We start from the raw sequence: 26,634 nt of genomic DNA, 5'->3' as shown, positions 1-26,634 counted from the left end.
TAAAGTTAATTTGTGAACCACCAAAATTATCTCACATGCCACATGTTGCTCCTACTCTACTTTTCAACTGGCCTAGAGGTTGATATACATATGGGAGTGCATATACACAGCTCCTTAAACAGCTAAAGAAGAAGGTGTATATATTTAACACAATGAGAGGGAGGAGGCTTCTAAGGGAAGAAAAACTAGGTTTCTAGGAGTCAAAGGGGAGATTAAAATAGCTTGTGATCATGTTTATGTAGGTAAGAATAGATTTCCTTGTTTTTTCTTCATTTTCATAAACTTTCTTGGCAGAGGGAATTCATGGCAGCCTCACTCTCATAAGTATCTGCTTTTAGTGACATAAAAGAAGTTCAGAAAAGACTTCTTTCTGTTTGTTGAATCTCAAATGTCTTTAGGTTTGAATAATCTTTATAGTGCCTCTAGGGATCTGAGTGAGTTCCGAAACTTTGAAAATTTAAACATTTTGTGTTTTTTTAAGCTATAATTTTATCGCAGTCTGTCTTATACTGTATAAAAATATCAAAGAATCCTGGAACCACAGAGTTATTACATTCTAGACAAGGTTGTACTGACAAAATTCCACCAACAGAAATTCGTGTTTCCTAAAACTTTACCCTCAAGCATTGCTTTACAAGTTTTTATGAGCAACCAGACTGGGAATGAGCTTAACCAAAATGTACTATTAACCATGTTTAACAAGAGGGACTTTTTTTTTAATTGGAAGGCAAATATTAATGTCTGGGAACTGTCACAAAGGAAGACATTTTATGAACAAAAAAAAAAAAATACAGGTCTGTTAGTATAATTACTTTTAAAAATTATTTAACATAAATTAGCAAAATAAGATTAGCCATTTTAAAGTGAACAATTCAATGGCATTTGGTACACTCACAGTATTGTGCAACCACCGCCTCTATCCAGTTCCCAAACATTTTAATCACTCCAAAAAGAGCTGGCACCACTCATGCAGTTGCTTTCCATATCCCCTCCCCAGCTCCTTGTAGCCACCAATATGTTTACTGCTGCCAGATATTGCATATAAATGGATCGTATAATATGTGACCTTATTTTTTGTCTGGCTTCTTTATTTGAAAACATGATGTTTTCAAGGCTCATTCATGTTGTTGTATATATCAGTACTTCATTTCTTTTTATGCTTGAATCATATGCTATTGTGTGTACATACCACAATCTGTTTATCCATTTATTCATTGATAAATATGTGGGCTTTTGCCAAGTTTTGTCTGTTGTGAATAGTGCTACATGAACATGCATGCAAGTATACTTGTCAATGTTGTACAAAATAGAATTCAAAAAGGCAGAAAAGCATAATAGTTCTTCAAAATAATAACTAAATGCTGTGAAAGTAAAAACATTTCCAGATTCTGTCATAATGAATGATGCTACCACCACCACCCTTGACAATGGATGTTCTTCATGGAAATGACTTAGGTCCAATATTATTTTCTTCTGTCCTATGACAAACATTCTTCAGATAAATATAAACAATTTACATTTCTAATAAAATTACTACCCATTCTTTAAGTGTGTGCTGTCCATCATGATTTCCTTCCAAAGAAATGAAAGGGAAACAAGAAAGAGGAAATTTATAGTTGAGAAAACTGACTAGATACAGCCTCAGCCAGGTGATGAAGTTAACAACAGTGATAAGTCATATTAATCATATACTTTTGATAAATATGTCAAAATAGCAGTTGACTTGTGGTTTTCCTACATACATCACATAACCGCAGTTGAATCTTGAGGAAAACACCAGATAAACACCCATTAAGGGACATTCTGCAAAATATCCAGTGCTCAAAATTGTCAATGTCATCAAAAACAAAAGTCTGAGAACTTGTCACAGCCAAAATGAGCCTAAGGAACCATTATGACTAAATGCAAACTGGTATCCTGATTGGGATCCTGAAACAGAAAACTGACATTAAGTAAAAACTAAGGAAATCTAAAGAAACTTTGGATTTTAGTTAGTAACAATGTATTCCTACAGCAAAATTGCACTAGACAAAGTTAAATGATAAGGAAGACTGTATTCACAGCTATTGCAATAGAGAAGAGAGACCAGAATACAGACTAGATCTGAACTGATCTCTAATAGAAAAAATGGCTGGAGAGCTGTTAAACACTCCAGTGGACTTGGGTGTGGGGGAATCACAGACCAGATGTGTTTACTAATTGGCATTCCCAAAGGAAAATAAATTTCCTTGAATTTTCATGACAGAAAGTAGTTTTAGAAATTGGAGCAAGCCTCCAAAGGAAGTCAGGCTCCTAACCTCCCACAGAAACTGGGAAATACGGGCTTCTTCCTTGACTATTACATTTCAAAGAGATGGCCCCCCAGGGCATGAAAAAGATGGGCCTGGTTTGTAGAACTGACAAGCAGCTTATAAAAGATTAACACCTCAGAGGCGCAGAGAAGGAATTTACAATTACAAGGTTTCTAAAGTAAATGCTCTAATGAGATGAGAGTGACCTTTATGGTTAGGCTGTCTAGTAATGTGAACTGTTAGGTAAAGGCCTAACATACAAAAGCTTAACTACTGTAACATACTTTCAAGAAAGTTGCTTTGAAGACAATTGGATCTCAGTTTACATCCTGACTCAACCACTTAAAACTGTTGGTTTAAGCAAGTTAATTTACCAATCTTTTTTTTTTCAATGAAAACTAAGTCTACATTGTGCCTAATTTCTTTTTTGTTGTTGTTTTTTGAGACTGAGTCTCACTCTGTCGCCCAGGCTGGAGTGCAGTGGCGTGATCTTGGCTCACTGCAACTTCTGCTTCCCAAGTTCAAGCGATCCTCCTGCCTCAGCCTCTCAAGTAGCTGGGACTACAGGCTCCTGCCACCACACCCAGATTTTTGTATTTTTAGTGGAGACGGGGTTTCACCATGTTTGCCAGGCTGGTATCAAACCCCTGACCTCAAGTGATCCACCCACCTTGGCCTCCCAAAGTTCTGGGATTACAGGTATGGGCCACTGCTCCTGGCTATTGTGCCTAATTTCTATAAACTACCTGTTGTTTGTTTTTCTCCCTAACAGGACCGTGCCCAAAATCTGAATGAGAGGCGAACCACCACCACCACTCTCACAGTGGATGTTCTGGATGGAGATGACTTGGGTCCAATGTTTCTTCCTTGTGTCCTTGTGCCAAACACTCGTGATTGCCGTCCACTCACTTATCAAGCTGCCATACCTGAGTTGAGAACTCCGGTAAATATACTCTTATCTTTCTCCATTTATTTGCATGTTTTAAAACCCAATGGGATCATGTTCAAGTATTTTGTAGACATATAATTTATAATAGCAAAACTCAGTATATGCACATTGAAAAATATTTATGTCCGAAACTATTTTCAGGGAGTATGAATACATTTTTAACACAAAGAGTAATTATATAATTTCCAAATAGAAAGTATGTTATGAAACAACAGTCCAACATGGTTATTTTATTTTATTTTTTTACCAATAAATCACCAAGGAATTCACTAGCCATTCTGAAAAACTCCAAATAATCAGTGCAGCATTTTCTTAAATTCATATTTAAACATGCAGTCGTAAGTCAGAGGACACACAGGTCAATAGGATACATTTTTGGCCCAGTAGAATTCTGAAATGTTATTGGAGATTATGTTTGGCCGTTTGAAGGTAGGAGCTAACAAATACTGAATACAAATACTTACCTCTTAAAGTAAAGATATAGAAAGGTGAAGCATGAATACATATTTTCTACACTTAATCCTGTATTTTTGATAAATGCTAATGGAGCTATAAATTTCTGTCAGTTTGGATTTCACAGCTTGGACCTCCCCAGATGATTGATGTACATACCTAAGAATAAGAATTTTAAGGCAAATGGATATCCTGCTGAGGCAAAAATATCAATTTCTCCCCTAAAAGGTGTATTTGTGTGTGTGTGTGTGTGTGTGTGTGTGTGTGTGTGTGTGTGTGTGTATACACATATTCTGTTTTTAAAAATTCCGTGGTCTAGGATTTAACCATTTAACCAGTATTTTTGCTATTTCCCTGGAAAGCAATCAGCTCTCTGGGTTCCCAAAATGGCTCAAAGTGTTAGAATTTGTTGGAAGCTACTTGACTTTTTTTCCTCAAAATACATGAGAACTGAAGTTCTGAGGGTCCTCTATTTGAGATTTTGAGGAATAGAACAGGAATGCCTCCTAAATGTAAAGCCAGAGTGCTTATCCAATGTTATAATATTAATACATCTATTGGTTTTTCTCACAGCAGATCTAAAATAGCTGAGAATCACTTTTGAGTCTACTCACAGCAATGATCACTGGTCCAGTTAACTTGCATGAATAAAAAAAACAGCTGGAGAGAAAAATAAATAGTTATGTGCATTGGATAAAAATATGTTTTCAGCCAAATGAAGTATTTTTGCAGGCAAAAAAGCTAATCAGAACTTGACTGGACAAAATAGATGTAGAATACCTAAAGTTATATGCCATTATGTTATTTTGTTGAATCCCAGCCAAAAAAAAAAACAAAACCCAAAAAACAAAAACAAAAACAAACAAACAAACAAAAAAAACACACAAACTATTAAAGATGGTGAACATAAAAATTTTACTTGAAAGGACTGGTAAAAGTAATGATGACAAACATAATTTTTATAAGGCTGCACACCTACTGCCATCTGCCCTTCGACAAAGCTGACAAAAGTAGTGGCAAAAAGACTTCCTATTCAGTAAATGGTGCTGGGAGAACTGGCTAGCCATATGAAGATTGAAGCTGGACCCCCCCCTCCTTATACCATAACCAAAAATCAACTCAAGATGGATTAAAGACTTAAATGTAAAACTCCAAACTAGAAAAACCCTGGAGGACCACCTAGGCAATACTATTCAGGACAAAGGCACAGGCAAAGATTTTGTAACAAAGAACCAACAGCAATTGCAACAAAAGCAAACATTGACAAATGGGATCTAATTAAACTTAAGAGCTTCTGCACAGCTTAATAAACTATCAACAGAGTGAACAGACCACCTACAGAACGGGAGAAAATATTTGCAAACTATGCATCTGACAGAGGTCTAATATCCAGCATCTATGAGGAATTTAAAATTACAAGAATTAAATAAAAACATCAAAAAGTGTTTTCTTTTGGACATGAACACTTTTCAAAAGAATACATACATGTGGCCAATAAAAAAATGAAAAACAGTTAAATGTCACTAATCGTTAGAGAAATGCAAATCAAAACCACAATGAGAAACCATTGCACAGTCAGTCAAAATGACTATTATTAAAAAGTCAAAAAATAACAGATGCTGGCAAGGTTGCAGAGAAAAGGGAACACTTATACACTGTTGGTGGGAGTATAAATTAGTTCAACCATGTGGAAAGCCATGTGGCAATTTCTCAAAGAGCTAAAAGAAGAACTCCCATTTGATCCAGCAGTCCTATTACTGGGAATATACCCAGAGGAATATAAATCATTCTGCCATAAAGACACATGCACATGAATGTTCATGGCAGCACTATTCACAATAGCAAAGACATGGAGTCAATCTAAATGCCCATGAATGACAGATTGGATAAAGAAAATGATGTACATATACCACATGGAATACTATACAGCTATAAAAAATAATGAGGTCTTGTCTTTTGCGGGAACATAGATGGAGTGGGAGGCTAATTTCCTTAGCAAACTAACACAGGAACAGAAAACCAAATACCGCATATTCTCACATATAAGTGGGAGGTAAATGATGAGAACTCATGAACAGAAGGAAGAGAACAACAGACCCTGAAGTCTATTTGAGGTTGGAAGGTAGGAGGAGACAGAGGAGCAGAAAAGATGACTATTGGGTACTGGGCTTACTAACTGGGTGACGCAATAATCTATACAACAACCTCCCATGACACGACTTCACCTATGTAACAAACCTGCATATGGACCCCTGAACCTAAAATATAACTCTTTTTTTAAAAAAGTTTCATTTTTATTTATCTTTTAAAATATCTACAAGAGGGTGGGTTTGCTCCATGACTAATCATTGTTTGTGCATGAAATTTAAGCATGTAAGGTTCAAGTATATTACGCTGGCATTAAAATCTTTTAAAATTTCTACAAGAGGGTGGGTTTGCTCTATGACTAATCATTTTTTGCACATGAAATTTAAACATGTAAGGATCAAGTATATTGGGCTGGTATTAAAATGTGCATTTTTGTTTCATTCGAAAATTTCTATTCGGAAAGACAACAGTGAAAAAACAAATATGCTGAAACAAATATTTAATACTTGATAATAATCTTTTTCAATCATCCCCATACAAATTTGGCACTCTGTATTGCGTGTGTGTGTGTGTGTGTGTGTGTGTGTGTGTGTACTTCCAATTAAAATCCTTTTAAATATAAAAAAGGAAAAAGAAAAATATATTTTTAGTATTAATTTATGTTTCCGAGTTAATAGATTCAGCTAGTGTACCAGTGGGACCCCAAGAGAAGGTATACATTGAAACCGCAATAATCCAATTCAATGAGTCAGTCTGATGACTGTTTACTAGTAGTTAGTTCATTGAGGAAAGTAAAGGAAGATAGAGACTGCTGCTTGAAAAGCAGAGTGTACAAACTTAATTTTACAAAGAATCATTGACCTTCCTTTCCTCTCCAGATTACAGACTGAGCATCTCTCTCATTCCTATGCAGTTTAATGCTAGAGACCAGATTATACTTTCAATTTGGGGTAATAACGTAAGTGATCATAATGTCTAGAGGTTGTATAGAATGTTCTGTTCGTAATGAACTATGCTAAGCTCTGCACAAATATTAACTGGTTGCATGTGTTGAATATACACAAAAACGTTTCTGGTAGACAGTTTAAGTATATAGATACAATTTAGGAAGAGTAAATAAAATTAAGATACATTTGAGTCCTAGCTCTACATGCAAAAATTGATAGCAGGTTTTTTCTGGCTCTGGCAGCCTGGGTTAAGTTGGAGATTCACTCTGTAGGTGGACATAGTTGTTGAAAAATATTTATATCCAAAAGTATTTTCAGAGAGTATGGGCAAATTTTTGGTCAGAATGCCTCACTATCTCCCTTGTTGTACTATAATATTCATATTTTGAGTATCAGTACTCAAAGTAGAACTAGTCCAAGGATAAAACTTATTCAGTCTTCAGATGACAAACCCAGTCCAATATTAAATATTGCATATCCTAACATAAGGAGAATAATGAACTAATGGTGAAGAAATAAGTCAGGAAATTTTTTATGCTCTGAATCCTTTGTAAAGTAGTGTTTGGGCAAAGAGCATGAAAGATCCTAAGGATAGTGGATTCTTGCCAGTAAAAAAAGGAGGTCTTTAACTGAAGATCAATAAATATTTTTTTGAACAATTACTCTTTTATTTTCTTTTAAAACCTTGCTTTTTGAATTAAATATTATGGAAGAAATTCTGGAATGATCAATCTTGATCCTTTTATCATTTTTAACAGATTGAGCCATTCCTTAACATACTTTGAAAAAATGAGAATTTAAGATTTATACATTTAAGTAATTATGGCAAATATTTATTTTTTTATTTCATGTACAAAAATATAGATATATTTACTTGTAAGCCTAGGCACTTGGTCAGATTATCAGTCACCGTATAACAGGCCACCAAAACTTAGTGGGCTCAAACTACAATCATTTAATTTGCTCACTAAGCTGCAATTTTAGCAAGACTTGAGAAAACATCTTATCTTTGCTCCATGCAGCATCAGCTGTGGCACTTTAACTGAGGGCTGGGTGCCACTTTCATAATGATTAACTTAGATGGCTACCAAGTTGATTTTGGCTGTTGGCTGGTGCTCATCCAGGATTGAAGACTGAGGCTTCATTTTCACCCCACTGAAGCCTCTTATAGGCTGTTGGGGCTTCCTCACAGCAAGACAGTGGGTTGTCACAACAAGCTTCCCAAGAGAATTAGGCAGAAATTTTCATAAATTAGCTATGGAATTTGAAGGGTCAGTTCTGTTGTAGTCAAATCTCTGCCAGTTTCAAGGGGTAGAAACATACTCCACCTCCCTATATGAGGGGTGTCCAAGTCACATTATAAGAAGAGCATATGGAAAAGAAAATGTTATTGTGGCAATCTTTAGAAAATAAAATCATCCTTAGTACTGGCATCAGGTTTTTATGTACATTGTTATGTATATTGTTATTTTGAATCCATTCTAGAACACTAGGTATAAAAACTGGAGTTAGTTTTTGAGCTTCACATTCAAATTACTGTGTTTATGTCTGTACTTTTATTCTTTTTGATTGTCTCTTTTTCTATTTTCCTTTATATATTCTGCTAAAATTTCATGAAATTTCAATAAGATCTTGCTCTCCAGAGTGAAAGCTAACCATTAATGTCAGCTAAACAGAACATGTTGACTCTAATTACATACTTGCTGATCCTTTCTTGAAAGAATTCTTCAAATTTTGGAAGACTTGCCACCTGTTCACCTATGTTGATGTGAAATTTTCCTTACTTTGGTGGTATTCTTGACTTGAGAAACCATTCCTAACCCCATTATAATACATGCAGAATTTGTCAGTTCAGAAAAACTTTTAAAAATATAGTCTATTAATAAATTTATCTCATGAACTATGATATAATAAAAATAAAAATCGCTTTATATCAAAATTTAAAGTCACTTGTTTAGAAATACACTGATTTTATAAATGTAGATTACACGGTTTTCTAATATAAACAACTCTCTTTGGCAAATTAATGTTTTCACAAACACTAAGATTAATATTATATTGAACACATAAATATATACATCTGGTGTTACAAAGGTAGAAAGCAATTCATAGTACTCTGCTAATTTAGTATTAATTTGATAAATTTCTATAGGACCTTAATGTATGCCAAACTACGTTGAGGATGCTAGGCAAGTAGGATGAAATAAATTATTGCCCAGATATATTATTATGTATGTTTATTCTTAATTTCCAACTCTTTTAAAGTTATTATGTCTGTAAAGTTAAGGTTTTCTGGTATTATGAAAAAAGTCTGTAGAATTTGGAGTATAAAATCCTTGGCTTTATTTTCTAATGAAGCACAGATAAAACCATGATAAATCCTTATGCATTTTTTTCAATTGAACAGTAGCATACATTTATGTGTTTGCTTGATTGGTTGGCTGTTTTTTCTTTTGCAGTGTTATTTATCCCTGGACAGAAAAATGAATGATATATTAACGTATTTTCTATGCGTTTACTGTGTATACCTTCCTTTAATTATTGCACCATGTGGTTTTCAGTATTTCAACATCAGTTGCTCACTGAACATGGTCATCTTTTTCTCTCCCCCTGTTTAAAACCATTGGATTGGATCCCAATAATTTCTAGTGACAAACATCTCAACTTCAATCTTTGTCTTAAAAAATCTAGCTTTCATGTCAAAAACAGCTTCTCTGGTTTATCTATGAAACCCTCTCCCTCCGGGGAAGCTTTCTCAGTTATCAGAAAAGTAATGATGATTTTCAGTGATCTACAACACTTATCATTTCTTCTTGGCATAGCCTCACATTAAATATATTACAGTCTGGGAAATCTCTCCTCTCTTGCTTTTTTATGGAAGTACCGTTTTTTCTCATTCCCTTGGTGGCCTTGGATTTTGCCTCTTAAATCTTTGATCACTTTTATTTATTTTGAAATTTATTTTAAAATTATGATTAAATTTTAAAGAGTTCCAAGGCTTCTCTCTTTTGTAATTCTTTTTTTCTCCCTTATTGTTTTACTAAGATTGAGTTGAGCAAACCTATATAGAGTTCTATTTTTCCTCAAATAGGGATTATGTATTTGTTGTAGATAAGTCTTCTAACTTGAAATCTGTCTTGAGTTCCAAGTTTGAATTTCTCGTCTTTTTCTGGATATTTTTAACTGTGTTTCTGGCAGATGCCTCATTATTCTTTCTATCCAATTCTAATGTATCCATACTTACTATGTATTGTTACTCCTGTGGTCATTATTGATTTGAACCTAGACTTCAATGACCTCCGTTCCAAACTCAATCAATCTCCAAAGCCATTTTCTGCATTACCTATATACTCTTACTCAAATCTGTTTGACACCTGTCTATTTACACTGTCAGAACATCTATTTAAAGACATACTCTAAACTCGGCATCCGGCCTCCAGTCTCTCACTCCTCTAACCACCATCACAATAAAGCCAAAGTTGTTTTTGTTTTTGTTTTTCAATACAATGCTGATCTGATTTTTTGGTGTTTAAAAAGGTTCAGTGTTTTCCATCATACACCAAATGAATTCCACGGCTTTTATCTTATCATTCAAAGTAACTTATATCTGACCACTTTCCAGTCTCATCTCTTCTAACACACATAGTACAACTTGTCTAGGCACACAGAACATCACATATGACCCTGAACAACTCTGAGAATTACCCTACTTTCTCTCTGTTTCATATGTTAAGCACATATTTGTTATTGAAGGTTCATATCAGTTAACCTAAAATGATAGATCCTCAAAACTAATAGTTTCTCTTTGTGATCCCATTTATTCCTACTATAAATATTAAACTCTTCATTACAGTGTGTTCATTTACTATGAATGTTTTTCTTTCACTACGCTATGAATTCTTTAAACTTCTTTGTCATTATATCCTAACTTGAAACCCATTGGCTTCACATAGCAGATATACAGTATTTTTTTTTTCTTTTTTTGAGATGGAGTCTTACTTTGTCACCAAGGCAGTGCAGTGACACAATCTTGGCTCACTGCAACCTATGCCTCCTGTGTTCAAGTGATTCTCCTCTCTCAGCCTCCCAAGTAGCTGAGACTACCAGCATGTGCCACCACACCCGGCTAATTTTTGTATTTTTTCAGTTGAGACAGGGTTTCACCATGTTGGTCAGGCTGATCTCGAACTCCTGACCTCAGATGATCTACCTGCCTTGGCCTCCCAAAGTTCTGGGATTATAGGCATGAGCCACCGTGCCCAGCCTGATATTTTTTGCATATTTTGAATTGAATTAACTCATCAAATTTTCAAAATATGTTTATTATGTAATAAGTCATTGAATATAAATATGAATAATCATGGCTCTTGTCCTCTCAGTCTCAATTAAAGTATATTGGTTGTAAAGGTACATATGTGAAGTGTGTGTGTGTGTGTGTGTGTGTGTGTGTGTGTGTATGTACGTATATATATGTTTGTGTGTATAAATACTTATTGTAATTGTAGATTATCCAAATATATTATTTATTTTATACAGTCTAGATCAAGTAATCATATATCCCATTTGCCATAGAAAGTCCCAGGTTATAATTCTTGTCCCAGCATATTGTTAATAATGTCTCCTTTTGTTTTTAATAGTGTTCTAAATATTAAAGTATATCCTCACTGAGTCCCTTGGCCAATCACTTTCAAAATTTTTTCTGTGGATATGTTTTGGGGCCAGCAAAGTGATCAATGAAGAGGGAAACAGGTGGTAGCTCCCAAACTGCCCACAGCCTTTTAATGCGAAGATCGTTTGTCAAAATATTTTGAAGAAACAAATGATAAATAACACATCTAGAGTCAACATATGATGTGACTGCCATTTTGTTCTTCCCATCAACAATCGCACACAAACACAAACTAAAATTCAGCAAGTATTGTCCTGAATGTGAAATTGTATTGTGATTCTAAAAGTGGTGTGTGACATGGGGGCCTGTCTGGGGGTCGGGGAATAGGGGAGGGATAGCATTAGGAGAAATACCTAATGTAGATTATGGGTTGATGGGTGCAGCAAACCACCATGGCATGTGTATACCTATGTTACAAACCTGCACGTTCTGCACATGTAACCCAGAAATTAAAGTAAATTTTTTAAAAAGTCATGTGTGAAGTAATATGAAAGCAAAGGAATCCTTGGTTCTCCTTATCATTGGTCAAAATGTATTTGAACAGGTTCAACTATATTCAACTGTAATATACCATAGCACCAATTATAGATAATGTGAAGACATTGAAATTTTTAGTGGAATAAATAAATAATAAGAAACAGGTATAAAATAACTATTAAGGAGGCAAAAAAAAGAAACAGTCGAAAGGAGGAATTGAGTTCGTTAGTTTAGTTGTATGAACAAAGTCACTATTCTGCTGAATAACAAGTATGAAGTCTAACTCTTCTTGTTAAGGAGTTTGTTCAAAGTATTACTTTAAATTAACCTTTGAGCTATTTTTTTCTATGAAACACACACAAAAGTAAAAGATGTCAAGTCCTTAAGCTTGTCCCTGATGTTTATAAGTTTTCCTACACATTTATTCTGAAACTCTGATGGCTTACTCAATTATGAGGGAAAATTTGCAAAGATGTTTACCATCACAGCGTAAGATAGTTTGTAAGCACTCAGAGTCTGAATTTAAATCTTGTGTGATGTTGGGTATGTTGCTTACTGTCTCTAAAACTCAGTTTGAACTTGTCATCCACAAAATGAAGGTAATAGCTCAGATATGTGGTTTTCATGACTACTATAAAAGAAGATTTATGAAGCATGCTTAACTAGTTACCAGCAAATAGTAAGAGTTTAACAATATTTGCTATTGTTACTATTATTATTGGCAATGGAAATTTTTCGTCTGCTTGGTGTTTACTCAGAGACACATGGGAAGAAGTAGCTAATTCAAATTAGTTATTAATTTGAATTTCTAGCTTTAAAACTGAGTTGTATGTAGATAGGACCTAATTTATTCTGATTGCACTACTTCTAATTAATTCAGTATTATTTTGGATTTTTAAAGGAATGCAATCTATTTATTCAAAAGAACAGTCGAGGTATCTTTTTAAATAAACAGAGTTGGCATTGTCACTACTTGTGCTGAATTAATTATGCAGTATATTATGACTTTGGGGAGGGGGAGCAGCAGATGCCAAATGCCACAAGGTGATACTGTGAGCCAAAATATATCAGTGAATCAAATTTTAAATGTCAGACGGGGAGGTATCTTGCTCCCTTTGTTTCTTTTCTAAATAAATATAAAAACAATAGATTATGGTAATGTTTTCCAAATTGTCCCACAGAGCCTCCTGTTGGGCTGTGGTGGTTCAGAGTTTCCCCTCTAGGTAAACATAGGACTTCTTCGCCCTATAAATTTGGCAATTGTGCTGTTTTTCCACACACTAATGTAGAAAGTTTTTCAGGATTTACTTTAATTATAAAATAATTGGCTGCTAATTATAAATTATACTGAAACATTTAAAAAGATTAGACACATATTAAAAATCAGAAATCCTCAATCCTCAAAGCCCAGTCCCCAGGATAACCATTATTAATTTGATGAATGTCTTTCCAAGTACCTGGAGCCTGACTGAAGCAATTTTATATATATATATATATATATATATATATATATATATATATATATACACACACACACATATATATATATGTATATATATATATATATATATATATATATATATATATATACACACACACACATATATATATATATGTATATATATATATATTTAATTTCAAACAAGCCAAATGACTCTGGCCTACATAAAAGTAAACTATTAGAAGATTCACTGTGGCCTCACAGAATATACTGGTAACTTTTTAAAGGAATTAGGAGCTGAAGGTTGAGAACAAAAGCCATACCTATGTGTTTTAGGGGTTGGAGATGGATCATGTGATTTGGCATGACTGTATAGACAGGATGTAATTCTTTGTCTTTTTAACCCAGTGCAAATTTGAGGGAGAGAGCAACTGATTGACCTAGCTTGAATCACATGCTTGCCCTTTGACCAGAGGGAATGGAGCCTGGGATAGTTAATTTTATGCATTAACTTGGCTAAGACATGGTACCCAGATATCTGTCAAATATATCTAGATATTGATGTGAAGGTATGCTTTCAGATGATATTAACATTAAATCACTGGACTTTGGATCTATGATATCGGTTGGCTGCATCCAGTCAGTTGAAGGCTTTAAGTAAAAAGACTGACCTCCCTCAAAAAACTGAGGATTCTGGCAAACTATTTTTGGACACAAACTATGACAATTCCTCCCTATGTCTCCAGCCTGCTGGCCTGTCCTACAGATTTTGAACTTGCCCAACTCCACAATCACATGAGCCAGTTCCTTAAATTATCTTTCTCTCGCTCTCTCTCTCTGAGAAACATACACATATACATACATACGCACACATTTTATTGGTTCTGTTTCTCTGGAAGATACCAATCAATACAGGGCCCCTGATGAAAGTGTGTCTAATAGAAAAGGTCATTAATTTAAAAACAGATAAATTGTTAAAGGGAAATGGATGCAAGGCAGCTGAAAAGCCAAATGTTTAAAGCAAATATATAATCAAACCATCAAATTTTTTTTTTCCTGGAGTCTTACTATGGGTGTCTACCAGGTTTGCCCGAAATCTGGTCAGAATGGCATTGAAAAATAGACATTAGATCACATCTCTTCCATGCTTCAGTGCTATGATAGCTTCTTATTAAGTAATCATATCTAAGTGTCTTCCTCTACCATGACCTGTAAGGTCCTACACTATCTTGTCTCATTTGCCTCATCCCATCTGCTTCTACTACCTCTCTTCCTCCTGCTTCCTGGTCTTTTTTCTGTCCTTTATCATCCCATATTCTTTGGCTGAGGTGAAATGTCTTTGTGTGCCATTTTTTTTTTCCAGAATATTCTCTTCTGCTATTTTCCTATGGCTGGCTCCTTTAGTTATTTAGATTTTCCCTCATATATGCCTCCTTAAAAAAGGCTTCCCTAATAACACAGTCTGTAATAGGTTCCCTCAAGAATTAGATAATTCATGACTTTGTTTTCTGCAGATTAGTTTACTATGTGGAAATTTCTTGCATATTCACTTAATTGATTAATATTTGTCTACTTCCTTCAAAATATAAAAACATCTGAAAACAGAGACTTTCCCTATATCATTTGCTATCTTATCACAAACTGTTAGGATGATGGCTCAAATATAAAATGCTCAATTAATATTTACTTATATGGAATAAATTAAAACTTCCCTATCAATGCATATATATTTTACTTTTTATAATAGCTGCATAGAATGACTTTGTATAAAGGTACCTTAATTTATTTGTCTGTTTTATATTTTGGAATTCTGTGTACAGTATTACTTTTTTAAAAAGTGCTTCACTGTTCAAAAAAAATACCTAGATAAAATATATTCCTCTCTAAGGAGATATATTTCTCTCTGATGTATTCGTTAGCAAAACTAAATTTATGTTACATATTCCTTATTTCAGTTCTTCTTGATTAAAACAAATAATGAAGGACATGCTAATGCATTTTAATAGTTTTAACTGTTGGGGCTTATGTGTGGCTAAAAGATGGTTTAGAATTCAATGAGGTCATCAGAAAAGAAATTATGTACATAACACTTTAAAAAGTTATAAAAATAGCTGTAAGATTGTTCACAAGCAGTTTTGCAGCTTCACTTTTAAGAAGCCATAGTATAAGTGTTGGGCTTTATGATTAAGATTTTTTCTGAAAGAATATTACTACTCAACTATAATAGCTCTAAACCGACTTGATTTGTAGGCAGCCCTAATAGTGATTTCCTTGAATTTCACTTTGTTTACTAACATATTCTGCAAATACATACAAAAAAAAAGGGAAATAAACAGACTATGGACACAGCAATGAATTTATCTACTTCCCAAGTGATGTTAGTTCATGATGCTTTCAAGATCCTTAGAAGAAATCTTATACATAAGCCACTGTCATCTCCTGTCCCTGTTTCTACTTTTGCTCCCTATCGCTTATTTTTCACACAGCCAATCAGGGTAATCTTTTAAAAGCATAAATCAGTTCAAGTTACTCTCTTGCTTAAAATATTCCAGTGACTTCCAACTGTGGTAAGAATAAAATTCTCAATGCCCGTGTATGGCTTACCAAAGTACACATGATTCAATTCCTGCCTATCTGCTGCTCTGCTGCCAGGACGTTTTTTCCTATCCCTTGGACATTCTAAGTTTGTTCTCATGCCCAAGCTTTTGCTGTTCATTTTGTGTAAAACTCTTTTCTCAGAACTTGCAATCATTGGTATACTCTCATCAATCAATATCAGGTTTCAGGAAACAATATAACTTCCCAAATTTCCTGACAACTCTTCCTAATGTAGATTTGCTTTAAACAACAACAAAGTCATAGAGATTAATAAAAAAGTTTTATTTGTTTTTGTTGGTATATAGAGGCGAATACAATTTATAGTAGCTCTGTTTTCAGTGCGATTTCCTTGCAACTTGCAGCTGGCTTATGCCAGTGTTAATTTAACGGGAAACAATGATATGGGTGAGTAAATAAGATACAAAACAGCTGGCTCTTTTAAATAAAATTGAAAAAACCTTGCCATGTCAAGATAATCAAAGAATAAATATGATTGGTATGATAAATATTTATACTGATAAGTCAAAGAGTTGTAATAAACATCCAAAAACCTCTAAATTCCTAATCGCTAAAACATGGGCAGACAATGTATCTGAAGACATGAAATGAAACAGCACTTGTTTCTTAAAAAATTGCTTTTAAGGTGACATTTTCACACAGGAGAACAAAAAGGAGAAATGTAGAATGGTTTAAGTGTATCTCTGTCAAGAAGCATCTCTTTAATATGATTTGAGTATTATGTAAAAGGGTTTGCATTTATCAGCCTTGCATGCATGCATTGGGTTCAAAAGTTATTTAAAACACTGCTTTTACTCAGAATGCTTATTTGTCAGTCTGGTTGCTTTGGTATGAAGTGTCAGAAATAAAGTACTTCTTGGACTGTATACTTAGGTTATAAATATTTCCTGTGTTGAGAAGCAATTTTATACCACGTAGTGTTTACAGAGTGTATACCTGATTAATAACACACATTTGGTCCTTAAAAATTACATTCTCTTGTATACATTGCAGAGTATCTTACTTGTAATACATGCATGATATGACTTTCAGTTGCATTACTCTAGATTTTGAGTTCTAATTATTGTCCCTATTATATAGCAATACATTTCCACATACTAACATCTGCAGAGAAATGTGTATGTGTGTGCATATATATGCATATATATACACATACATAAATATATTTTTATATATATGTACATATGGGATATGAAATTGTTTCCATTTGAAACAATTGTGATAATTGGGGAACCCTCTTAGGACATATAAACTCATATTTTTTGCAATATTTTTGGTCTGTAGAATTGTATATGCAGTTTTCTTTTAGAAAAAAAAATGCATACAGAGATTAAGAATAAAGTGACAGCAGTAATTTGACCTTATCAGCAATTCTCTGAGTGATAATTGCCCTTGTAATCTATTGCCCCATCTGCTAGGTGGTGGAAGTTCCTCTCAGTCAAGAACTGTACCAATTCTTAAAGCCAGTCCCTTCTGAAGGCTCATACTAGCAGTGGAAATTACACATAGAAGTGACTCATTATTCAATAAAGTTTCCTATTTTTCTTATTATCCAGATGGAATTGAGCTAAGTTTTGTAAAGGAAGTGGGGAGGTGTATAACATTCACTTTTTAAATTTTTAATATGTGTGGGTGTATATATTTATGGGGTACATGAAACACTTTGATATAGGCTTGTAAAGCCTAATAGTCACATCATGATAAGAGGCCTTTGTATTTTTACTTTGTAAAGTAGATGGAATGCATTTTGAAATAAAGTTGTAAAATTTCTCAAATGGAAAGGTCTGAGGTCAAAGGAGGAGCGACCTACTAGAGTACCTATTATGTGTTAGGTAAGTTATATAAACTATCTGATCACAACAGAGTAAACATTTGTTTTAGTCTGATCGACTGCCATAAAAAATACCACAAACTAGGCATTTATAAAACTAAAAATTTATTTCTGACAGTTCTGGAGGTTGGCATTCTAAGATAAAGGCACCAGTAGATTCGATGTCTGAGGAGGTCCTGCTTTTGGCTCACAGTTAGTGGTGTCCTCAAATAGTGGAATGTGCGACGGGTCTCTCTTAGGCCTTTCATTTATTAAGGGAACTATTGTTAACACCCCTCATGACCTAATCACCTCCCAACCTTCTAATACCGCCATCTTGAGGGTTAGGATTTCAGCATATGTATTTTGGGGAAACACAAACATTCAGACACAGCTGGAACTTACAGTCTAGTCTAAAACAACAAAGTGTGTCTCACACAAGTTTTACCTATACTACCTTTTCCCTGTACAACACATAATATCTAAGGATTCAGTAGGAGTTATTGACCTGATTTTACCACCTAAATAACATCACCTAAAACACATTTCTAGGAAGTGAATGGGTGGGAGTTAGGGTACATGTATCTAACCTAGTAAATATCATCTTGAAATAATTTATTTGAAAATCCAGACTGCTATTCATTATTATCTATGCAGTTAAATATATTTCTGTTACTAACACAAACAGTATGTTATGTTGATTTTGATGGGAATTTTAAAAAAATGGTTTTACATTTTATTCCTAAGGGTAATATTATTTAATTTAAACACTAAAAAAACAGCCAGCAACCACAGTGTAGTCACTATAACCACCACTGCAGTATTTCTTTGTTGACTTGTAAGGGATATATAAAGATAAATGAGAAAAGACAGTAAAGAAATTCCCAGAAAAAATATATTAGCTCTTATAGATGTGGTGGGTGCTATGAAGTGTTACATGTGTAACCATTGAGGCAATGAATTCTCCCCTCTCAATTACCTTCATCCCCACATGCTAGGAATGTTGCTGGCTAGTGAAAATTACTTGAGTCTCTCCTGAGGAATTGCCCTTCATTTAAAGACAACCATTTCACACAAATTCATCACCTGGAAGCATAGTATCAAATGGCTGGTCAGTGGGGCTGGAGAGAGTTATATCAAGGCCCAGTCATCTAGCCTCAGTGCATGAGAACTCAGGAAGCCATTCCTTTTAAGATATTCTGTGGGCTTGTTGTCTCTGCCTGGATTGTACTTCTTTTCAACTCCCCTCTCATAATTAATTAAAAGTTAATTCCCTTATAAACATCATACATGCAAATTTACCTGAGAGTTTGTTTTCCAGAAAACAAACTTAGTACAATGGAATATCTTTGTGTTGGTTCCTAAAGAAATATTTTAGAGATTTCATTCATTTTGTACAACAGAATGATAGAAGACTTATATTTTGGATACAATCGATTAGTGTTTTACCTGGATCATAACTTGCATAACTAGCTTGTAAATATGTGTCTTACTCTACCTCAAAGAGTCTGATTTAATGTTTTGGATGAAGCCTAGGAACTTGTGTGTCCAGAATTTGTTCCTTCCAGTGGGTTCTTGGTTTCACTGACTTCAAGAATGAAGCCACAGACCTTCACAGTGAGTGTTACAGCTCTTAAAGATGGTCTGTCTGGAGTTTCTTCCTTTGGATGTTCAGATGTGTCTGCAGTTTCTTCCTTCCGGTGGGTTCGTGGTCTCGCTGACTTCAGGAGTGAAGCCACATACCTTCTCAGTGAGTGTTACAGCTCTTAAAGGTGGTACAGACCCAAAGAGTGAGCAGCAGCAAGATTTATTGTGAGGAGTGAAAAAACAGAGCTTCCACAGTGTGCAAGGGGACCCAAACAGGTTGCCGCTGCCAGCTCAGGTGGCCAGCTTTTATTCCCTTATTTGGCCCCATCCACATCCTGCTGATTGGTCCATTTTACAGAGCGCTGATTAGTGCATTTACAATCCTTTAGCTAGACACAGAGTGCTGATTGGTGCGATTTTACCAAGTGCTGATTGGTGTGTTTACAATCCTTTAGCTAGACACAGAGCGCTGATTGGTGAATTTACAATCCTTTAGCTAGACACAAAAGTTCTCCAAGCCCCCATCCGACCCAGAAGCTCAGCTGGCTTCACCTCTCAATCCCTCCTCTAAACAGGACACCCCAACTTCTGTTAGGAATTGGGCGATGACCACTCTAGCTACTTCCTGCCGGATAGGGGCGAAGAAGGGGCCCTGCAGCTGTAGTGTCCTCCAGAGGGGAACTCTTTCGGCCAGTGAAAGGGCCAGTGGGTCAGTCCAGGGATCCTCGGTAGAAGTTGTTAGTTGAGTTCATTTGGGGTTCCATTTGTAAGACTATCTATAGCTTGATGGCCTTGATCCTAGAGGAAACAAATTTGACAAGGAGGTTAAAAATACAGGGCCCAAAGGTGAGTAATTGCAAAATGGCTGCTACCGGACCTAGAAAGTGGAGAAGCCATGTCACCCAACTCCAGAGGTTGGTATAAGAGTTTGAAAGGCATTGTTTGATTTCAGAAGCCTTTTCCTGTAAATGCCTGGCAGCATCTCTTACTATCCCTGACTGGTTAGGGTAAAAACAACACTCTTCCCCTAAGAAGGTGCAGAGTCCTCCTTTCTCAGTAGTGAGGAGGTCTAGGCCTCAGCAGTTTAGGAGAGTCTCTGCTGCCAAAGAGTCTACTTCGGATTGTAGAGTAAGGATAGATTTCGTTATTTCTTGCAAACTGTCTGAGAATTCCTTTAAGAGTGTGTGGTAGCAGGATAATACATATTACACTGTTAACTTTTAGCAAACTTTAGTTGAAAGCCTTGTAAGTTTGGGATTATAATTTTTCTTTACTATTAATGAAAACCTCGTTCAGTCCATATTAACTTAGAATTGGTATAGATAGCTCCTTCCTGATTCTGTAAGTACTTTAAGATTTGGCTGAGTGCAAACAACTCGCACGTTTGAGCAGACCAATCACTGGGAAATTTTCCTAACTCTGCTTCTACAAGAGTTTCCTTATCACTTGCTGAACACCCATTGTGTCTTTTTCCCTTAACTGCCTGGGAGGAACCATCTATCCTCCTGTCCTGAAGGGAGTTCCTCCTAGATCTGGTCAGACCTTTGTATGGTAATTCATTAAGATTTAGATCCCTGTTTGGAAACCTGCTGGGTTAAGGATTTTTGATAGGAAGGCTATGGGTTGTCAGTAGCCTCAGTGCTTTTGGGCTACACCCTTGTTTACACTGACAACAAGGTGGTATTGGAGTGTTATAGGGTTACAGAGAAGACCCTTAATTATCAATTATACATTTTAAATTTACCCTGGCTTTTAAAGGAATAGGGTACACTGTTTTTTCTTTACTACTTCTATCTCCCTCTTTCTCTCTCTTTGACTTCTTGTCTGTCTCTCTCTTCTTTGTCTGTCTTTCTCTTTCTGACTCCCTCTTTGTCTCTTCCTCTCTTTACTTCTTTGACTCTCTGTCTCTCTGTCTCTTCCTCTCTCTCACTCTTTGACTTCTTCTTTGTCTCTGTCTCTTCCTCTCTCTGTCTCCTCCTCTTTGTCTCTCTGTTTCTTCCTCTTTCTCTGACTTTCTGTCTCTTTCTCTCTTTCCTTTCTGCTGGTCTTTCCCTGCCTCTGTCAGCAGCTTATGCTGCTGTTCTCCCCTCTCCTTCCCCTTTTTGATGGCTTCGGCAGTATAAGACTGCCACTTCCTTGGGTTTTTGCACTGCATGCAATAACTGCATGATTTCCTTGTGGTATTTAATGGGGGTTCCCCCAGAGGTTAGGAACTCCCTTTCTTTCCATATTGCAGCATGGGCATGTAGGATTAGATAAGCATACTTACTATCTGTAGCAAAGTCTTCCAATTACAACAGAGGAGGTGGGAGAAATACCTGGTTACAGGCTCTCCCAGGATTCCTTGGATGGTAACGGACCTTGAGGACAGTCATCTGGGACAGGAGATTAACACTGAGAAGGCTATGCCAGTGTCCAGGAGGAAGTCAATTTCCTGGTCATCAATAGTTAAACGTACCTGGGGTTCAGTGAGGGTGATGACATGAGCTGGCACTTGCCCCAGGCACCCTCAGTCCTGTTGTTGGATCATCTGGTTGGGGGCTTCTGGCCCAGAGAACCTTTGCCCTCTGGGGCAGTGTGCCTTCCAGTGATTGCCTCTGCACAGTGGACATGGATGAGGGGGCAGCTTGTTTCTCATTGGACAACCTTTTTTAAGGTGTCCTTGCAAGCCACACTGGTAACAAGCCCCACTGGGTGATTGGCCTGCTCCATTTTCTGTCCTCTCTGAACCAGCAAGGTAGGTTTGTCTGAGGGCCATGACTAAGGCTGCAGTCTTTCTCTGATCTCGCTTTTCCTTTTGGGCCGGTTCCTCTTGGTCCCTATTATAGAACACCAAGGTTGCCAGGTTTAATAATGCCTCCAGATTTTATTCAGGGCCTAGGGCTCACTTTTGGAGCTTTCTTTTGATATCTGTGGCTGATCGGGTAATAAACTTATCTTTTAGGATCAATAGACCCTCTAGTGAGTCAGTTGACAGTGGAGTGTATTTCCTTAAGGCCTCCCATAGCTGCTCGAGGAAGGCAGGATTTTCTTCCTTTCCATGAGTTATGGTGGACATCATTGAATAATTCATGGGCTTTTTCCTAATTCTCCTTAGTCCTTCTAGAACACAGGTCAACAGATGTTTACAACTCCAGTCCCCAGGATCTGAGTTGAAGTCCCAGTGGGGATCCATACTGGGCACGGCTTGCTGACCAGTAGGGAATTTGTCCCTTTCTTCAGCTGTCATTCTATCATTTACTTGATTAAGCTATCAGGTATCTCCAAACTCTCAGGCTGCAGCTAAAGCCACATTCTTTTCATTAAAGGCCAGGGTTTGATCTAACAATAGCATGACATCTTTCCAATAAGATCAAAGGCTTGCCCTAGACCCTGTAGGACACCTATATACCTATCAGGATCATCTGAAAAGTTCCCCAGGTCTGCCTTGATCTGCTTTAAATCGGAGAGGGAGAAGGGGACATGTACCCACGTTGGGCCAAATTCCCCTCCCCCTACTTAAAGGGGACAGAACCAATAGCCTGGGGGATTTTGTGGTCCTTTGGATATTTCTTTTCTTATTTCCCTCTGGGCAAGGGAGATTAGAGGAGGTTTATCACTAACAGGAAGGGGAGCTATAGGGAGGCTAGGATATGGAGGTAAGCTGAGAGGTCCTCCTGTGGGATGTAAATTGCAAGCTTTGCATAGTTGTGGATTCTCCTTCAATGAAAAGAAAGCTTGGACATAAGGTATTTCACTCCATTTGCCTTCCCTCTTACAGAAAAAGTCAAGCTGCAGGATAGTATTGTAACTTATACTTCCCTCGGGTGGCCATTTTTCCCCAACAGAGAGATAATATTGTGGCCGAGCCATAGTGCAGAAAAAAATGAGCTGCCTTTCTTTCAGGGTTTGCGGGTCAAATTGGTCCCAATGGCTTAGGATGCATTTCAAGGGTGAGCCCATTGATGCCTGAGTGTTTCCCATCTGAAAGACAAAACCACCTGCGGTTTTGTTTTGTTTGTTTCTCCCCCTGCCCAAGAACCCACAGTGGCCCCTGGACCCTGCTGATCAGAATAGTTACACTCACTGACGTGGCAGCAGAAACCCCTCTTGCCCAAGCACCCACAACAGTCCCTGGACCCTGCTGATGGGAATAGTTGCGCTCACCAACACAGCAGCAGAAACACTAGTTTTCCTCCTAGACCACAAGGAGGAATGAGGAAGGTCGGATTATTGGCCCTTACCAATGCATTCTAGAAAACCTGTTAGAGTCCTAAGCATTCTCCTGTTAATATTGGGACTTTATCCATGCCCTATAAAGATGTTATGCCCCAAAAATGAAGTGGAGGGCCATACCCTGAGAGAGGGAAGAGATCTCCAGGGTTGGAAGAGTGATGCCTTTTGTCCTCACTTATATGAATAGCAAGGATACAATTTCTGAGGCTCCCCATATCCTAGCTTCAGGAATAGCCTTTGTTAGGCCTGCTAGCCTGAGGAGGGGTCCTAAAATTCCAGATAAGATAGTCTGGCTCCTCCGATGGGGCTTTGGGCAAAAATTATGTCTTTCTGATTGGTGAGCCTGGGTGCCTAAAGAAGGGAATAGAGTCCTAAAGTTTATGCTAGAAATCATTCTTATACGAGAAACTAGAAAAGCACCAGAGACAGGGAGTGGTTTTTAGAAGCGAGACTAGCCTCAGAGAAGAGAGGCAAGAGGAAGTTTGTCTGACAGGCATGAGGACCCAGGAGGCAAGGGTCAGGATAGATAGGAGAGATGGGCGAGTCTCCCTTAGGCGACATGTCTTTGAGAGTTCCGCTCAGCCTCAGGGTCAACCAACTTGTTGTTGGGACCCTGGAGCTGAATGGCTTTCCACTCTGTCTACCCTCGGCTCAGCCCAGAAGTACAAGAAAAGTGGAAGCTGGTTCCAGGCAAATCAATGCTTCCAACCCCGAAGAGTCAGGGGTTGTAAGAGAGCCCTTTCCTAGAATGCCTGACACCCGTGTTTTTATTCCAGTGGCCGTGCCAACCACTTTTTTTTTTTTTTTTTTTTTTTTTGAGACGGAGTCTCGCTCTGTCGCCCAGGCTGGAGTGCAGTGGCGGGATCTCGGCTCCCTGCAAGCTCCGCCTCCCGGGTTCACGCCATTCTCCTGCCTCAGCCTCCCAAGTAGCTGGGACCACAGGCGCCCGCCACTACGCCCGGCTAATTTTTTGTATTTTTTAGTAGAGACGGGGTTTCACCATTTTAGCCGGGATGGTCTCGATCTCCTGACCTCGTGATCCGCCCGCCTCGGCCTCCCAAAGTGCTGGGATTACAGGCGTGAGCCACCGCGCCCGGCCACCAACCACTTTTAACTGACCGACAGGTGCCCGATAATTAGATCCTGAATTCTAAGGAAAAATAGAACAGAATTGCAAGTGAAAGGGGTCCGATGGTACTCACTACTTGGTGATTATCCCTTCGTGGTTGCCAAATGTGTCTGGAATTTGTTCCTTCCACTGGGTTCTTGGTCTTGCTGACTTCAAGAATGAAGCGCGGAGCTTCACAGTGAATGTTACAGGTCTTAAAGATGGTATGTCCGGAGTTTCTTCATTTGGATGTTCAGATACGTCCAGAGTTTCTTCTTTCCAGTGGGTTTGTAGTCTCACTGACTTCAGGAGTGAAGCCATGAACCTTCTCAGTGAGTGTTACAGCTCTTAAAGGTGGTGTGGACCCTAAGAGTGAGCACCAGCAAGATTTATTGCAAAGAGCCAAAGAACAAAACTTCCACAGCATGGAAGGGGATCCGAGCAGGTTGACGCTGCTGGCTCTGGTGGCCAGCTTTTATTCCCTTATTTGGCCCCGCCCACATCCTGCTGATTGGCCCATTTTACAGAGTGCTGATTGGTCCATTTTACAGAGAATTGATTGGTCCATTTTACAGAGCACTTATTGGTCCATTTTGCAGCATGCTGATTGGTGTGATTTTACAGAGTGCTGATTGGTGCATTTACAATCCTTTAGCTAGACACAAAAGTTCTCCAAATCCCCATCCGGCCCAGAAGCTCAGCTGGCTTCACCTCTCACTTGAAGCTTCAACTCCAGGGTATTCTAATTCAATATGACTGGAATGTGGCCTAAGAATTTGTATTTCAAAAATGTTTATATAGCAATTTTCAAATATATACAAAAAAACAGAAGACCATCATGACCACACTATGAATTTATCACCCAGTTTCAACAATTACCAATTCATAGGCATACTTGCACCAACTATATCTTCTCCCATCCTTTCTTCCCAAATTACTTGAAGCATGTCTCAGATATAGTTTCATTTTATTTGAATATGTTTCAGTGTATATTATGAAATGATGGCATACCACAATGCCTTTATCAAAAATAATATGAGTTAAATTAGGAGTGTTTACTTTTTAATGTGTCAAAATAATTCTAATAATCCAGAAACACTGATGTATAATTGATGAATTAATTAAAAGCTTGGTGTGTAATTTTGACAGATTGACTCATGTGTGTGTCTGTGTGTGTGTGATTACTGTTGCTTTCAGGTGGACACCTTTCAATTATGCTAAGTATGTACTTAATCATGTCCTAAATCCATGAATTATACAGGGTGACTTTTGGTAACTATATCATTGATTTAGTAGATTTTTATCTTTTGGCATCTTGATGAGTTCTGCTTAATAAATTAGTAACATGCGTTATATCTATTTGAGGCAGAAAATGTCTCTAATTTCTGTTTTTATACTTTAAGTTCTAGGGTACATGTGTACAACGTGCAGATTGAATACATAGGTATACACGTGGCATGTTTGTTTGCTGCACCCATTAACTCGTCATTTACATTAGGTAATTCTCCCAATGCTATCCCTTCCCCAGCCCCCCACCCTCTGACAGGCCCCAGTGTGTGATGTTCCCTGCCATGTGTCCAAGTGTTCTCATTGTTCGATTCCCAACTATGAGAACATGTGGTGTTTGGATTTCTGTCCTTGTGATAATTTGCTGAGAATAATGGTTTCCAGCTTCATCCATGTCCCTGCAAAGAACATTAACTCATCCTTTTTTATGGCTGCACAGTATTCCATGGTGTATATGTGCCATATTTTCTTTATCCAGTCTATCATTGTTGGACATTTGGGTTGGTTCCAAGTCTTTGCTACTGTGAATAGTGCTGCAATAAACATACGTGTGCATGTGTCTTTATAGTAGCATGATTTATAATCCTTTGGGTATATATCCAGTAATGGGATTGCTGGGTCAAATGGTATTTCTAGTCCTAGATCCTTAAGAAATCGCCACAATGTCTTCCACACTGGTTGAAATAATTTAAACTC

At 37.1% G+C, this 26,634-nt stretch overlaps 1 protein-coding gene across 20 annotated transcripts in view; it reads left to right on the top strand.

Moving 5' to 3' along the window:
* Positions 1-26,634, top strand: part of PCDH15 (protocadherin related 15) — a 1,825,172-nt gene that overhangs the window by 1,307,438 nt on the left and 491,100 nt on the right. For all 20 annotated transcript variants that reach the window (XM_047425663.1, NM_001354420.2, NM_001354429.2 and 17 more), the window contains one exon: positions 3,064-3,234. In XM_047425663.1, the coding sequence (XP_047281619.1) occupies positions 3,064-3,234 (171 nt within the window). The remainder of the gene's footprint in view (positions 1-3,063; positions 3,235-26,634) is intronic.

Source organism: Homo sapiens, chromosome 10 (assembly GCF_000001405.40).
Source record: "Homo sapiens chromosome 10, GRCh38.p14 Primary Assembly".
In the NCBI taxonomy this organism is placed as follows: Eukaryota; Metazoa; Chordata; class Mammalia; order Primates; family Hominidae; genus Homo; species Homo sapiens.
The sequence above is the reverse complement of the archived record's forward strand: the minus strand, read 5'-3'. Positions and strand labels throughout refer to the sequence as shown.